General features: G+C 35.0%; 1 protein-coding gene across 8 annotated transcripts in view; it reads left to right on the forward strand.

Annotated features, from left to right (window-relative positions):
* The window catches only part of RUNDC3B (RUN domain containing 3B), a 203899-nt gene that overhangs the window by 137146 nt on the left and 49525 nt on the right, over positions 1 to 17228 (forward strand). For all 8 annotated transcript variants that reach the window (NM_001394228.1, NM_138290.3, NM_001394224.1 and 5 more), the window contains 2 exons: positions 5038 to 5206; positions 12255 to 12412. In NM_001394228.1, the coding sequence (NP_001381157.1) occupies positions 5038 to 5206; positions 12255 to 12412 (327 nt within the window). The remainder of the gene's footprint in view (positions 1 to 5037; positions 5207 to 12254; positions 12413 to 17228) is intronic.

The following is a 17228-nucleotide window of genomic DNA, read 5'->3' on the forward strand; positions in this document are numbered from 1 at the left end:
GTTTACCCAAATGTCTTCCAGGAGCAAGTTGTTTAGTTTCTACATACTTGTGTAATTTTGATGGTTCTTCATGGTATTGATTTCTAATTTTATTCCACTGTGGTCTGAGAAGATATTTGATATGATTTCAGTTTTTAAAAATTTATTGAGACTTGCTTTATGACCAACCATATGGTCAGTTTTGGAGAATGTTCTCTGCACAGGTGAGAAAAATATATATTCTGTGGTTATTGGGTAGCATGTTCTGTAAATATCTATTAGGTCCATTTGCTCTAGAGTCTAATTTAAGTCCAGAGTATTTTTTTTTTATTTTCTGCCTCAGTAATCTGTCTAGTGCTATTAGTAGAGTGTTGAATTCCCTCACTATTATTGTATTACCCTATATCATTTCTTATGTCTAGTAGTATTTGTTTTATGAATCTGGGTGCTCCAGTGTTGGATGCATATATATTTAGAACAGTTAAATCTTCTTGTTGAATCAAACCCTTTATCATTATATAATGACCTTCCTTGTCTTTTTCACTGTTGTTGATTTAAAGTCTGTTTTGTATGATATAAGAATAGCTACTCTTGATCGTTTTGTTTTCCTGTTGCATGATACATCTTTTTCAAACTCTTCCATTTTGAGTCTGTAAGTGTATTTACCTGTTAGGTGGGTCTTCGAAGATGGTTGGGTCTTGTTTTTAATCCAGCTTGTCAGCCTATATCTTTGTGAGGCCATGTGAGGTTCTGTTCCTGTCACAGTGTTGATAACTAGTTGCTTTGTAATCTCAATTGTGTAATTGCTTTATCGGCTGTCTGAGCTTTGGACGTATGTATGCATTTATGATGGTGAGTATCGTCCTTTTTTTATGTTTAGAGCTCCTTTGATCATTTCTTGTAGGACTAGTCTAATCGTGATTAATTCCCTTAGTGCTTGCTTGTCTGGGGAAGGACTTTATTTCTTCTTCATTGATGAAGCTTAGTTTGGCAGTATATAAAATTCTTGGCTAGTGTTTTTTTCTCTAAGAAGGCTGAAAAAAGACCCCCAGTCTCTTCTGGCTCATAAGGTTTCTTCTGAGAAGTCTGTTGTTAATCTGATAGAATTTCCTTTATAGGAAATTCTTTTATTTCTTTTCCTTTAGGAAATTTCTTTTCTTTCACGTTGACCTTGGATAGTCTGATGATCATATGCCTTGGTGGTGTTGATTTTGTATAGTATCTTTCAGGTGTTCTCTGAATTTCTTGTATCTGAATGGCTATATCTCTAGCAAGATCAGGAAAATTTTCCTGAATTATTCCCTCAAATATTTTTTCCAAACATTTTACTTTTTCATCTTCTCTCTCAAGAATAGCCAAAAGTTGTAGGTTTGGTTGCTTTACATAATCTAATGTTTCTTGAAGGCTTTGTTGATTTTTAATTTTTTTTCTTTTTTTCTGACTGTGTTAATTAGAAAAATCAATCTTCAAGCTCTGAAATTCTTTCTTTTGCTTGGTCTTTTATACTGTTAAAGCTTTCAAATGTATTTTGAAATTCCTTCAGCGAATTTTTCATTTCTTCAAGTTCTGTTTGGTTTTTAAAAATATCTACCTAACTCATCTTTCAGGTCCTGAATTGTTTTTCTGATCTCTTTGTGTTGTTTCCCAACCTTCTCTTAGATCTCATTTAACTTCCTTATAATCTACATTTTGAATTCTTTATTTGTCATAACAGAATTTTCATTTTGGTTAGGATCTATTCCTAGAGAACTAGTGTAATCCTTTGGAGATGTCAAAACACTCTATCCTTTTGTGCTGCCAGAGTTCTTACACTAATTCCTTCTAATCTGAGGAAGCTCCCTTAAGGATGTGACTGTTAGGTATATTGTCTAAGATCATTTGGCTTCATTTCTAGTTGCTTTCAGGAAGCCAAGACTCTGTATGAGTCCTTGGTTATAGATAGCTTTTTTTGCAGTGGCTTTCTCAAATGCTACTTGTCGTAGCAATGTATTGGTCATATGATCCAACTCACTATCTTCTGCAAGGCTGAGAGTGTGTAGGTCCCAGGGCACTTATCTCATAACCTAGCACTATGCCCTTCTATCCTCAGATTTCTTTATTTGGTGATGCAGTTCAATCTCCAGTTCAGTAAGTTGCACTTCAGAGTAAGAGCCAGCTTTCCCTGGGGTATGCTGATGACAAGTGGTAGCACCAGCCCCAACATATGGCGGGGGTAGTTCATGATAGGATGCACTGAGGTCTCTGGGGATGGGAGTTGAGAGGACTGCATCAGCTCCTTGTCCTAGGCAGGTAGGAATGCAATCAGCTTCCCTGTCACACCCTTGTCACAGGGCTTGCAACTTTCAGTTTAGATAGACACTATCTTTATCTCTAGGCCACAATGCAACTGAGGTTTGTGGAAAATGCCTGTCTGTCTACTACCAACAAAATAACCCAAGGGAGAAAACTTTTCACCCAGCCGAAAACAAACAACTCTGCTGGCGATCTGTACTCTATTGCAGGAATGTTGCCACTCTGTGTAGGGAGAGGGAGGTGAGTCATACCCTTTATTTAAGCCCAGGTGATAGGCACACTTTTAGTGGAGAATAGTACTGTCTCCAAGTGTGCCTGTGTCAACCTCTAGTAGGAAAAGCCTTCGCTGCATCTGCAGTAGTAGGTCAGGGCACAGGAGAAGGGCACAGTCACCCATCTTGTCACAAATGTGGGGTTCTCAGGCAGGAGAGAAGTTGCAATCTGGTTCCTTTGTCCCAGTGAGTGCTTTGGTGGGCTGCACCTCTCCCTCCCCTAGGAGTGGCCCACACCGAGGACTAGATCTCCAGGGATCCTGCAGCTCCCCAGGGTCCTGATGGTCCCCTCTGGTTGCAGATTCAGAGAAGACTCTGAGAAATGTTTGTGGGGAATCTGGTGATGCAGTGACACAAGGGCTGAGATTCCCTGAATCTGCACAACGAGTATCGCACCCACTGCTTCAGCTCAGGTTTGGGGGCAATGTGAGCCCAGCTGCACAAGCTGACCACCTGGTGCTCTGCCCACAGGATGTTTCCAGATTACTATTGGCAGAATTGCCCAGGTTTGCAGGGGCAGAGGGGCTCTCTGACAATTCACTTCTCAGCAGTTTGTCACATTGGTGAGGGGTGCAAAGAAATGCCCCTACCTACCCTTTCTATGGGACTCCAAGTTCCTTAATGGTCAGTCTCTCCCAGGCTCTTGCTGCCTTCCTTTTCTGCCTCCCAGCTGTTTCCTGCATGGTCTCCAACAGGTTTCAACACTCTTATCTCAACTTTCCACTCAGGCTATGATTATTCATCTATAAATTTGATCTGCTTTCTGAGGAGAACTGGCATCTGATGTATCTAGTCAGCCATCTTGGGAAAAAGTTGAATGAACTCTTTTTTTTTTTTCAATTATGATAGAATCAGAAATCCCAAATATTTAGAAAAACCATGTGTATTTTATAGATCACTCATTATTGTCCAACCACCACCACTCCTTTTTTTTGAGACGGAGTCTCTCTGTCACCCAGGCTGGAGTGCAGTGGCACAATCTCAGCTTACTGCAACCTCTACCTCCTGGGTTCAAATGATTCTTATGCCTCAGCCTCCCATGTAGCTGGGATTACAGGCATGTGCCACCACGCCCAGCTATTTTTTTTTTTTTTTTGTATTTTTAGTAGAGACAGGTTTTCACCATGTTGCCCAAGCTGGTCTTGAACTTCTGGCCTCAAGTGATCCGCCCACCTTGGCCTCCCAAAGGGCTGGTATTACAGGAATGAGCTAATATGCCCAGCCCCTTATATAATTGTCTTAACTGGACCTGAACATCTGGGGTTTGGCTATTGAGTTTAACTCATTTAAATTGTGTGTGATTACTTTTGTACTAGGGTTTATTTCTGCCATCTCCTTTTTTGTTTTGAATTTTCTTTGGCAGGTTTGGTTGTTTTTTGTTTTGTTTTGTTTTGTTTGCTCCTGCATTTGACAGATTGTGGTTTCTTTGAATACTCTCAAGGTAATACAGACTATTTTTATGCTTCTACTTATTTTTTAATATAATTGCTCATATTTAAAATTTTATTTTTCCATGTTTATTTTTAAGTATATTAACACCAGTATTTTTCTTCTTTTTTTTTATTATACTTTAAGTTCTGGGATACATGTGCAGAACGTGCAGGTTTGTTACATAGTTATACATGTGCCATGGTGGTTTGCTGCACCCATCAACCCATTATCTAGGTTTTAAGCCCTGCATGCATTAGGTATTTGTCCTAATGCTCTCCCTTCCCTTGCTCCCCACTGCCAACAGGCCGCGGTGTGTGATGTTCCCCTCCCTGTGTCCATGAATTAACACCAATATTTTTCTTCTAAATTGGACCATCATCTTAGCACATTTTTATCTCTATTGAGTTTCTCTTCTACCATTTTTTTCACCTTATGCTCTGCTTCTGTTCTATAGTCATATCCTGAGGAATTTTAGATATGGATTGTGATAGATGTTCTCTCTGCTCTACCTCTGCTTGTCCTTGTTCCCCTCAGTAGGAAATGCTTAGGAGTGACTGGATCTTCTGAACCTGTTGTTATCTTCTCTTTGCTAAAGCTGAGCTGATCTTGACACACTACCCTGTATTATACCCCACTGTTATTAGCTGGAACTGCTGTTGTCTGCCTTGTATTGAAGATTGAGCAGGCAGCAATCCACCTCGGGCAGTGAAAGGAACCCAGTTAGAAGGCTGTTTCCAGCGCATCTAGAGTTTCTGTTTCTCTTCTCTGGAAATCTTTTCTCTCTCTTTTGGGCATTCTTGGTTTATATCTTAATACCTTATATCTGTAAACCCACTTGAACTTCTGTAGTATCTCTAGGGTTGGTTTCCGAGAGGGAGTCAGCAGCCCATGCTAACTTGCCATTTTTTTTTCAGGAAGCTTAAATCTTTATAATATCATTATAATTTTGTATTTAGTACTAAATATTTTCGAATTTGTTCACCGTAGCTTGCAAATGTAAAAGTGTTTAAGAATCAAGTTGGAACATATTTTTAACTTTTTTTTAAAATTTTGATCTTCCCAGTTCTGATAGTATCAGCAGTGATGAGGAGGAGCTAAGGACTTTGGGAAGCAGTGGTAGCGAAAGCAGTACTCCAGAGAATGTCGGACCTCCTTTCCTCATGGATGAGAACAGTTGGTTCAACAAGTGTAAGAGAGTTAAACAAAAGTATCAGCTTACCCTGGAACAGAAGGTATTTTAAAATTATCAAAACGTACTTAATTTTATTCTAGTTATTGCCTTTGAACTGTGACTGCCAAAATATTTTTTAACTGAATAAAATTATTTATCCATTGCTGCTTCTCTTCTGTTTTTGAATTGTCCTCCTCTTAATGAAAAATCAGGCAACTGTAGAAGATACTTTTGTTTGTTGAACTTTTTCCAATTTTATGTTTTAACATAAAAACAAGCCATTATTTTAATAAGCAGCTTAATTTATGTATTTGAGATTTTAGTTTCTATGATAAATTTTATAAAAGATGATTGGTTTGTGAAAATGCAGTGATTGCCTAAGCACGTACATCTGATTTTTTGAAAATTAGATATTTTAGCAGCTCTTGTGTGTTAAGCACTGTAGTAGGCAAAGTGGAGTATATAACAGAAAGAAAACAAACTCTATTATTTTAAGGAGTTTGTAGCCATTACTTTTTTACTGTATTTTCTATTTTTCTCTTTTTGTCTTCTTTTAATATCATTATTCATAGATGATATATATATATAAGGAAAGCCCAATGGAATTAGTGATAGAAATATTCAAAAAATTAAAAATGCAGTGGGGAAATTGTCATAATTTTATAAATATAAATAATTTTATCTATACAGATAGCTATTGCTTAGAAAATATTTTTAAATCCAAATTACATAGCTATAAACATTTGCATAATGCATATGAAGAAAACTTTTCATGCGCTATTAAAGACTTGTGGTACCAGCAAGAATTCAGACTAAGATAATCTGAAAGTATCTACATTGCAAAAATATGAAAATGCTGAGTAGAATACAATTTTTTAAAAGATTCATTCAGAGCTACTCTCTCAAGAAAAGGAACTCCCTAGGGATCAGAAACATACACCTAACACAAGAAGAATATGTGCATATATTAGAGAACTGTAGGCCCCAGGGATGGGGGTGAAGGCATAATTCCTTAACCTAGAAACTTGCATTTTAACACCAACAGGGAAACAGCAGGTATAGGTCCCTGTCATTCAAGGTGGAAATTGAACCTAGAATGTAGGAGTGAGGTGCAAAATGGCAGAGTAAACAAATAAATTTGTAGAGAAAGCTTGATTACATGCAATAGCAAAAATAATGACCAATATGGGGTGACATTGGTACACTGAAATATGTTTAACTGGCTCTTTTAGAGGAGATGGAGACAGAAGCCCTCATTTGTAGTGTTTGCCAATTTTTCTGTGATAAATACTGCCATCATGGCCAATTTAAAGCTACCAATATGACATCACTGAATGCAAAATTGGGAAGAGGTGCACAGTAGAACAGCATTCCATAGTATTTCTACTAAGATAGATGAAATAGATGTAAATGACTGTAAGAACATAGATAATAGTTAAAATACGGTGAAATAATTAGAAAGTGATGAATTTTGAGCAGTTATTACCTTTTTGTTTAATATAATTTACTTAGTTGTAAATTTATATAATTTAATGTTTAATAACAGCAATGTTTAACAACTGACTTAAATTTCTGAAATTTAACAATCAGTTCTCGAGAGCCTATACAAGCCAGCTACAGGCCACCACTGAGAGTATGAAAGCAGAGCAGAACTAAAACACTGACTAAAAATATCAGAAAGAGTCAGAGATGCACAGTAGAACACTATTACATAGTATTTCTACTAAGATAGATGAAATAGATGTAAATGACCATAAGAACATAGATAATAGTTAAAATATGATGAAATAATTAGAAAGTGATGAATTTTGACTAGTCTTTTGAGCTAGTCTTTTGAGGTCTTTGTAATATAGTGAAGGTGGTTAGAGACATTTTTTAATGTGTGTGCCTGTTTCCAAAATTAACATTTAGAAGTTGCAATTAAGAGAATAGAAGTAGAATGTTTAATTTTCAAACCAGTAGAGGGAAAGAAAAGAAATAAGGAAAGCTTGATCGATATAATAGAAGGGAGCACATTAGAAAAAATAAAGATAGTGAAAAGAGAACGCAAAATGCAAATTACATATAACCAGAAGAGTCAACACCACCATAAAAGTAAATGGCAGAAACTTGCCAGTTAAGATAAACTCTTAGATTTTTTGAAAAATAATTATAAAATTTAGCTGTATGCTATTGATAAGAGAGACACATAACACATAATGACATAAAAAGTTGAAACTAGGGGGATAAATATACTAGATAGATACTAACTAAAAGAATTTTATGTCAATATCATTAAACATAGACATTAAGGCAGAAAGCATTATTAAGACTAAAGAAAGACATTGCTTTTTTTAAAAAGTAAGCATTCACCAGCCGGGCCTGGCGACTCACGCCTGTAATCCCAGCACTTTGGGAGGCCGAGGCGGGCGGATCACGAGGTCAGGAGTTGGAGACCATCCTGGATAACACAGTGAAACTCTGTCTCTACTAAAAATACAAAAAATTAGCCGGGCATGGTGGCGGGCACCTGTAGTCCCAGCTACTCGGGAAGCTGAGGCAGGAGAATGGCATGAACCCGCGAGGCGGAGCTTGCAGTGAGCGGAGATCGCGCCACTGCACTCCAGCCTGGGCAACAGAGCGAGACTCCGTCTCAAAAAAAAAAAAAAAAAAAAAGTAAGCATTCACAAAGAATATATATCAGTGCTGGACTTACATATATTTAACAATATATCCATGAAAAATATGAAGCAAAAATTAATTAAATGTCCAGAATAAATTGGTAATTCCATAATTATAATGAGAAATTTTAATGTCTTTCAGAGTAATTTATAGATTGAACGGATATAGTGAACTTCGATTAACACAATTAATAAACCTGATCTAAAATATATTAAATGTTAACAATTAGAACATATAACCTTTTCAAGCATATATGGAACAGCTATAGTGGAGTTATTTTTGTTTGGTTTGTTTTGTTTTTGTCTTGTCTTGTTTTGTTTTGTTTTGTTTTGTTTTGTTTTGTTTTGAGATGGAGTCTCGCTTTGTCACCCAGGCTGGAGTGCAGTGGCGCGATCTTGGCTCACTGAAACCTCCACCTCCTGGGTTCAAGTGATTCTCCTGCCTCAGCCTTCCGAGTACCTAGGACTACAGGCATGTGACACCACACCTGGCCAATTTTTGTATTTTTAGTAGAGACGGGGTTTCACGACGTTGGCTAGGCTGGTCTCTAACTCCTGACCTCAAGTGATCTGCCCAACTCGGCCTCCCAAAGTGCTGGTATTATAGGCATGAGCCACCGCACCCGGCCAATCTTTTTATGGAGCACACTAGGTCACAAAACAAATGTCCACAAATACCAAAGAAATGATACAATATTATCATTTTAGTATAACTTTTATACTAATGTAAGGTCATGTGAATAGTGCAGTAAAGTTAGATATCAATACAAACAGTTTAGCACCACCCACATGCCACTCATGAAATTAAAGAAAAAATTGTCTAAATTATAGGTCAAAAAAATTGAGGAAATAGAATACTTTAAAATGAATGAGAATGAAAATAATGCATATTAACGTTGTAAGTTGCCACACAACTTGTATAGTACTTGTAGAAATACTTAGATATTTAGAAAAGAAACAATGAAAATTAAAGAGATAAGTATCCAAGAAGTAGTGAAAGAACAACCAAACCAGTTCAAAAAGAAGGAAAGTAATAAAATAATAGATATTGGTGAAGTAAAAAAGAAACAGAATTAACAAAACCAAGAGATAATTATTTGCAAAAATTAATGAAATAAATTCTAGCAAGAATAATTTTTTTAAAAAATTAAGGCACAGATAATCTTAAGAATGGAAGAATAGACAGCACAACATAAATGTGGGAGAAACTCTCCCAATAATTATTAGAGAATATTTTAATAATTTTATAATACCTTGCAAAACAAAGAATTTTTATAAATACTACTTATCAAAACTGATATATAGCCATTTAACAAATTGAAAAAGTAGTTTAAAATCTTTCCAATCCCCCGCCAAAAAAAACTATTATGTATTGTTTTGGTGACTCTACCAAATATAGTCATGCACTACATAATAATGTTTTGGCCAACAATGGGCCATGTATATGAGGTGGTCTCATAAGATTATAATGGAGATGAAAAATTCCTATCACTTAGTGATGTAGCCGTGATGATGTTGTAACACAGTGCATTACTCATGTGTTTGTGATAATGCTAGTGTAAATAAACCTATTGCCCTGCCAGTCATTTAAAACTAGCATATACAATTATGGAAAGTATACAATACTTGATAATGATAATAAAATACTATGTTACTGGTTTACGTATTTACTATACAGTACTTTTTAGTCATTATTTTTAAATGTACTCCTTCTACTTAAAAAACAAAAAAGTTAAATGTTAAACAGCTTCAGGCAGGTCTTTTAGGAGGTAGTCCAGCAGTGGGCATTGTTATCATGGGAGATGACAGCTCCATGTGTTAATGCTCCTGAAGTCCTTGCAGTCAGACAAGAGGTGGAGGTGGAAGACAGTGATATTGATGATCCTGACCCTGTGTTGTAGGCCTAGGCTAATGTGTGTGTTTGTGACTTCGTTTTTAACAGAAAAGTTTAAAAAGTTAAAAAGTTTTTAAAATGTTTCAATAGAAAAAAAGCTTATAGAATAAGGATGTTAAAAAGAAAATGTTTTTGTATAGCTGTACAATGTATGTTTTAAACTGTTATTACAAAAGAGTCAAAAAGATTTTTAAAAATTTGTAAAGTAAAAATGTTATAGTAAGCTAACGTTAATTTTATTACTGAAGAAAGAAAACTTATAAAAATAAATTTAGTATAGCCTAGGCGTACAGTGTTTATAAAGTCTACAGTAGTGTACAGTAGTTGTAGGCCTTTACATTCACTAACTACCCACTTACTGACTCACTTTGAGCAATTTCCAGTCCTGCAAGTTCCATTTCACAGTAATGGCCTACATAGTTGTGCCTTTTTTAAAAAAAATCTTTTATACCATATTTTTACTGTCCCTTTTCTATGTTTAGATATATAAATACTTGCTATTGTATTACAATTGCCTACAGTACCCAGTATAGTAACATGCTGTACAGGTTTGTAGCCTAGGAACAATAGGCTATACCATCTAGCCTAGTTGTGTAGTAGACTCTGTAATGTTCATAGGTTGGTGTAAGTACACTCTGTAGTGTTCATAGAATGGCAAAATTGCTTAGCAACACATTTCTCAGAACATATCCCCATCATTAAGTGGCACACAACTGTAGGAGTGATCCCTATATATGGACTGTTCCTGAGAATAGAAAAAGAAGGAATAGTTTTCAATGAATTTAATGAACCACAGTATAACTCTTATACTAACATAAGATCATGTGAATATAATATCAAGTGGGAATGTGATTAGTATAAAACCAATAGTAAGAACAATTACTACAATGGCAATATCAGTAGCAGTATCTAGTAAATGTGAAGATATGCATGGCCTATATCCTAGGAATTCTACTCCTAGATATATCTCCTCGAAACTCTTGGATGTGCATACCAGGAGACATAACAGAGTGTGTTCACAGCAATATTGTTTATATTAAGAAAAACCTAAAGTGATCCAAATGGTCATTGAGAGAACAGTGACAGAAGAGTGAATAAACTGCAATATTCATACAATGGAATACTATACAGTTTTTAGAGCAAATGAACTATAGCTAGGCTCATCAATATAGACAAAACATTTTCAAAAGGATATTGACAAAACCAAGCAAAACTAAACAACGTATTGTTTAAGATGACACATATTTGTAGTAAAACTGGAAAGAAAAGTAAAGAGATAATAAACACAAATCTAGGATATTGTTACCTTTGAAGAGGAGCAATCAAGGAAGGCATTATATTGACTTTTAAAGTATTGGTGATTAATCTAGGTGGTGGATATGTGAGTATTCTTTAATTACTAATGTTTATGAATATATATTGTTTATATTAAGCTGTATATATATGAAATATTCATTTATAAAAATTAACTTTAACTTCTGAGATTTTATTATAGAAGAGCAAACATTTGAGAATTATCAGAAAAAAATATAAAAAATAAGTTCTTGAAGAATAGTATTACCTACTCTTAACATGTATCATAAATCTAAAATAGGTGAAAGTTTATTAATGACACATGAATAGGATAACATGTAATAGAAGAATACTTTAAAAAGATTCTAATTAATAATCCTTAGAGGAATTTGAAAGTAAACTGCAACTAAAAAGAATAGAATGCCATGGGAAGAGAACAATCAGAAAACAGGAAAGATTTTGAAAATTAAATATATGATTTCCTGAATTCAGAAATTTAGTACAAAGGGTTTGAGGATAAATTCAATAAGTTTTCCCAGAAAGCAGGGCAGAAGGACAAAGAGAAAGTAAAGAGTAAAAGGTTAAGAGATTATTCCAAGAAGTCTTATATCTATTACGTGTTTACTAATAATAATAGCTAGTAATTATACATTGCATGCAGTGTACCAGACACCATTCTAAGCAATTTATCTGTATTGATTCATTTAATCCTACCAACTAGGATACTCTGATGGGTCCTGCTTTTTTAGATGGTGAAACTGTGGCACAGAGAGCTTAAGTAACTTGCCCAAGGACACATAGCTGATAAGTGGTAAAACTGGAATATGACACTAGGCCAGCAGGCCTAACCAAAATTATACTACCTCTCACTAACATATTAATGCTAAAATGTTAATGTCTATGTGTTTTTGAAAAATAATCACAAAGAAGCAACTTTCTAATTGGTCATTCTGTTTTTAGGGCTGTATTTTGAAGCTAGGAGTCATGCAATTGTTGTGAAGCTTAGAAATTACAATGTTTTAACTAAGTTTTGCCTCAAATTACAGTTTCTCAAACTTTAGAGAAGAGTTTTAAATAATGGAGAATATATGTTAAATTTTTATATTCAATTAAGACAAATTTTTTACTAATTTATCAGTAATGCTTTGAAATTGTTTCATTACAATATAAATAGGAATAGCATTTAAGCTACTCAGCATTTATCTTCAGGATATGTATTAGAATTTTGCAGTTTCTATATCTTGATGATACTGGATTTCCAGGGTTACCTTGAAGAACTCTTACGACTTCGAGAGAACCAACTATCTGAATCTGTCTCCCAGAATAAAATACTACTTCAAAGGATTGAAGATTCCGATCTGGCTCATAAACTGGAGAAGGAACAATTAGAATATATAATTGTGGAGCTTCAAGATCAGCTGTAAGTACAAGCCTTTTAGAAAAATGTTGGTAGCATGTAAACATTAAGACAAAATGTCGTGTTTTGATACAGGAGGCAAATTCCAAGAAATCTTATTGCCTGTTAAATTCTTTTTCACCTACACTTTTTTGAAAGTTTACTTATGTTCTTGTTATTACAGAAGTAATCCATGTTAATTGCAGAAACTTAAAAAAATACAAGAAGAGGCCTGGTGCAGTGGCTCATATCTGTAATCCCCCCACTGGGGAGGCTGAGTTGGGCAGATTGCTTGGGCCCAGGAGTTAGAGACCAGCCTGGGTGACATGGCAAAACCCCATCTCTACTAAAAATACAAAATATTAGCTAGGCATGGTGGCATATGTCTATAGTCCCAGCTACTCAGGAGGCTGAGGCAAGAGGATCACTTGAGTCCAGGAGGTCAAGGCTGCAGTGGGCCCTGATTGAGCCACAGCACTCCACTCTGGCTGACAGAGCAAAACTCTGTCAAAAAAAAAAAAAAAAGGAATAAGAATAAGAAAATACAAGAAGAGAATAAAAATTACCTTCAGTTGTGTTACCCAGCATAAACTGGTTATAACTTGGTGTATATTATTCCAAATGCATATGTATAATTCTTAAAGTAGTTATTGATTGATTGATTACAAATAGATGGTATTTAGACTAGCGCTACTCAAAGTATAGTGCTGGTATATTAACTGTTACTAGGTTGTACCAGAATGTCACTAAGCAGAGTTTAGGATAGCTGAGTTATTTTTTAAGAGCAAGACTTTTTTTGATGAAGAAAGCAGTATAATAAGCTACTTTCTGGTACAAACCTCTTGTCACTGTTCAAAGCACTTGTACTAATCATATTTTGTCAGGCTTGCTGTGTTCAATTTTTTGTGAAAATTTTCACATATTAATATTTAATCTTAAAAAAATAATTTAAATTTGTTTATTTTGAAATAATTTCAAACTTTCAGAAAAATTATACGGACAGTTCAAAGAATTCCCATATGATGTTTCCTAGATTCATTATTTTCAACATTTTGCCACATTTGCCTTATAATTCTCTCCCTTTCCCTAAACACACATACATTTTTTAACCACTTGAGAGGTTGCATACATTATGGTCCTTCATTTCTTACTGCTTCAGTGTCATTCTTAAGAACTAAAATGTTCTCTTATATGATCATAGTTCAGTTGTCAATTAAAGATATTTAAATTGATACGATACTTTCACCTATAATTCATATTCCAGTTTTGTCAAAAGTTTAAATAATGTCCCTTACTACAAATTTTGTTTCTTTGGTACTGGGTCCAATTCAGGATTGTGTTTGCATGTGGTTGTCAGCCACTTTAAACTTTGAACAGTTTTCAGTCTTTTTCTTGCATAAGATTGATATTTCTAAAGAAAACTAGCTAGAATTCTTATAGAATGTCCCTTAATTTGTGTTTCTTTACTTTTTCCTTATGATTAGAATGAGCTTATCCATTCTTGGCTGGATTACAACATAAGTAGTTATGTTCTATTGGGGATATGATACCCAGAGGCACATAGTCTGTTGGACCTTTATTAATGATACTAATTTTAATCATTTGGTTAAGGTGTTTTTCTCTTCTGTATAGTTACTGCTGTTCCTTCTGTTCCTTATAAATTAATTAACATGTAATTTATAAGTAGGTAGTTTAAAAATTTCAACTTCTATTTTGCATTCAGGAGGTATATTTGCAGGTTTGTTACATGGATATGTTACATGATGCTGAGATTTGCGGTATGATTGATCCTGTCACCCAGGTAGTGAGCATAGTACTCAATAGGTAGTTTTTCAGCCCTTACCCCCCACCCTTCCTCTCCCTTCTCATAGTCCCCTGTGTCTAATAATGCCACCTTTATGGCCACGTGTACCGATTATTTAACTACCAGCTATAAGTGAGAACATGAGGTATTTGGTTTTCTGTTTCTGCATTAATTCACTTAGGATAATGGCCTCTAGCTGCATCCATGTTGCTGCAAAGGATATGAGTTCATTCTTTTTTATGGCTGCATAGTAGTCCATGGTATTGATGTACCACATTTTCTTTATCCAATCCACTGTGAATGAGCTCCTCAGTTGATTCTATGACTTTGCTATTGTCAATAGTGCTGTGATGAACATAGGAGTGCATGTCTATTTGGCAGACCAATTTATTTTCTTTTGGATATATACCTAGTAATGGTATTGCTGGGTTGAATGGTAATTCTGTTTTAAGTTATTTGAGAAATCTCCAAACTGCTTTCCACAGTGGCTGAACTAATTCATTCCCATCAACAGAGTGTAAGCATTCCCTTTTCTCCATAGCCTTATCATCTGTTGTTTTGCAACTTTTTAATAATAGCCATCTGACTGGTGTCAGAATGGTTTTGATTTGCATTTGTCTAATTATTGTGTTGAGCATTTTTTCACATTTGTTGGTTGCTTGTATGTCTTCTTTTAAGTATCTGTTCATGTCCCTTGCCCACTTTTTACTGGGGTTATTTGTTTTTTTCTTGTTGATTTAAGTTCCTTACAGGTTCTAGATATTAGACATTTGTTGGATGCATAGTTTGTGAGTGTTTTTCCCCAATCTGTAGGTTGTCTGTTTACTCTGTTGATAGTTTCTTTTGCTGTGTAGAAGCTCTTTAGTTTAATTAGGTCCCACTTGTCAATTTTTGTTTTTGTTGTAATTGCTTTTGAGGACTTAGTCATAAATTCTTTTCCATATGTGACATTATTCTGCATATGGCTACCCAGCTATCACAGCACCACTTATTGAATAGGGAGTCCTTTCTCCATTGCTTATTTTTGTCAACTTTGTCAAAGATAAGATGGATTGTGGGTATGTAGCTTTATTTCTAGGTTCTCTGTTCTGTTCCATTGGACTTTGTGTCTATTTGTGTAACAGTACCATTCTGTTTTGGTTACTGTAGACTTCCTTGTAATATAGTTTAAAGTCGGGTAATGTGACGCCTCCAGCTTTGTTATTTTTTATTAGGATTGATTTGGCTATTTTGGTTCCATATTAATTTTAGAATTTCTTTTCTAATTCTGTGAAAAATGATGTTGGTATTTTAATAGGGATAGCAGTCAATCATGCAATTTGTTCTGTAGGTTGCTTTGGGCAGTATGGTCATTTTCACAGTATTGATTCTTCCAATTCATGAGCACGGAATATTTTTCCATTTGTTTATGTCATTTGTGATTTCTTTCAGCAGTGTTTTGTAGTTCTCCTTGTAGAGATCTTTCACCAAATTGTTTAGATGTATTCTCAGGTATTTTGTGCATGTGTGGCTGTTGTAAATGGGATTGTGTTTTTGAGGTGACTCTCAGCTTGACCGTTATTGGTGTATAGAAGTACAACTGATTTTTATGCATTGATTTTATACCCTGAAACTTTACTGAAGTTGTTCTTCAGTTCTAGGAGCCTGCTGGTGGCCGTCAAGGTTTTCTAGGTATATAATTATATCATCAGGAAAGAGAGACAATATGACTTCTCTTTTACCTATTTGGATGCTTTTTATTTCTTTCTTTTTCCTATTGCTCTGGCTAGGACTTCTAGTACTATGTTGAATAGGAGTGGCCAGAGTGGGTGTCCTTGTCTTATTCTACTTCCCAAGGGGAATGTTTCCAGCCTTTGCCCATTCAGTATGATGTTGGCTGTGGGTTTGTCATAGATGGCTCTTGTTATTTTAAGATACATTCCCTCAAAACCTAGTTTTTTGAGGGTTTTTATCATGAAGGGATGTTGGATTTTATCGAAAGCTTTTTCTATGTCTATTGATATGATCATACGGTTTTTGTTTTTTATTCTGTTTATGTGGTAGATCACATTTCTTGATTTGCTTATTTTGAGCCATCCTTGCATCCAGGAATAAAGTCTACTTGATCATAGTTAACTAACTTTTAGAGGTGCTGCTAGATTTAGTTTGGTAGTATTTTATCAAGTATCTTTTCCTCTATCTTCATTAGGGATACTGGCCTATAGTTTTCTTTTTTTGTTTTGTCTTTCATTTTGGTATCAAGATGATGCTGGCTTCCTAGAATGTGTTACAGAAGAGTCCATCCTCCTTGGTATTTTGGAATAGTTTCAGTAGGATTGACACCAGCTCTTCTTTGTTTGTCTGGTAGAATACAACTATGAATATATCTGGTCCAGGACTTTTCTTAGTTGGTAGGTTTCTTATTACTGTTTTAGAGCTTATTTCTCTGATCAGGTTCTCAATTTCTTCCTGGTTTAATCTTGGGAGATTGTGTGTTTCCGGCAACTTATCAATTTCCTCTAGATTTTCTAGTTTGTGTGCATAAAACTGTTCGTAATAGTCTCTGAAGATATTTTGTATTTCTGTGGGATTAGCTGTAATGTCAACTCTGTCATTTCTCATTGTGCTTATTTGGATCTTCTTTCTTTTTTTCTTTGATAATAGCTAACAGTCTGTCAATCTTGTTTATCCTTTCAAAGAAATGATGTTTGGTTTTATTGATCCTTTGAGTAGGTTTTTGTGTCTCAGTTTTGTTCAGTTCTGCTCTGATTTCAGTTATTTCTTTTCTTCTTCTAGCTCTGGGGTTAATTTATTTTTGTTATTTTAGTTCCTCTAGGTGCGACGTCAGAGTGTTGATTTAAGATCTTTCTAACTTCTTGATGTAAACATTTAGTGATAAAAACTTTTAACACTATTTTTGCTGCATCCCAGAGATTTTGGTATGTTGTATCTCTTTTTCATTTATTTTAAAGAATTTTTAAATTTCTGTCTTAACTTCATTGTTTACTTAAAAGTTATTCAGGTGTAAGTTGTTTGGTGCCAATGTGATTGTGTGAT

This window comes from Homo sapiens, chromosome 7 (genome assembly GCF_000001405.40).
Source record: "Homo sapiens chromosome 7, GRCh38.p14 Primary Assembly".
Lineage (NCBI taxonomy): Eukaryota > Metazoa > Chordata > Mammalia > Primates > Hominidae > Homo > Homo sapiens.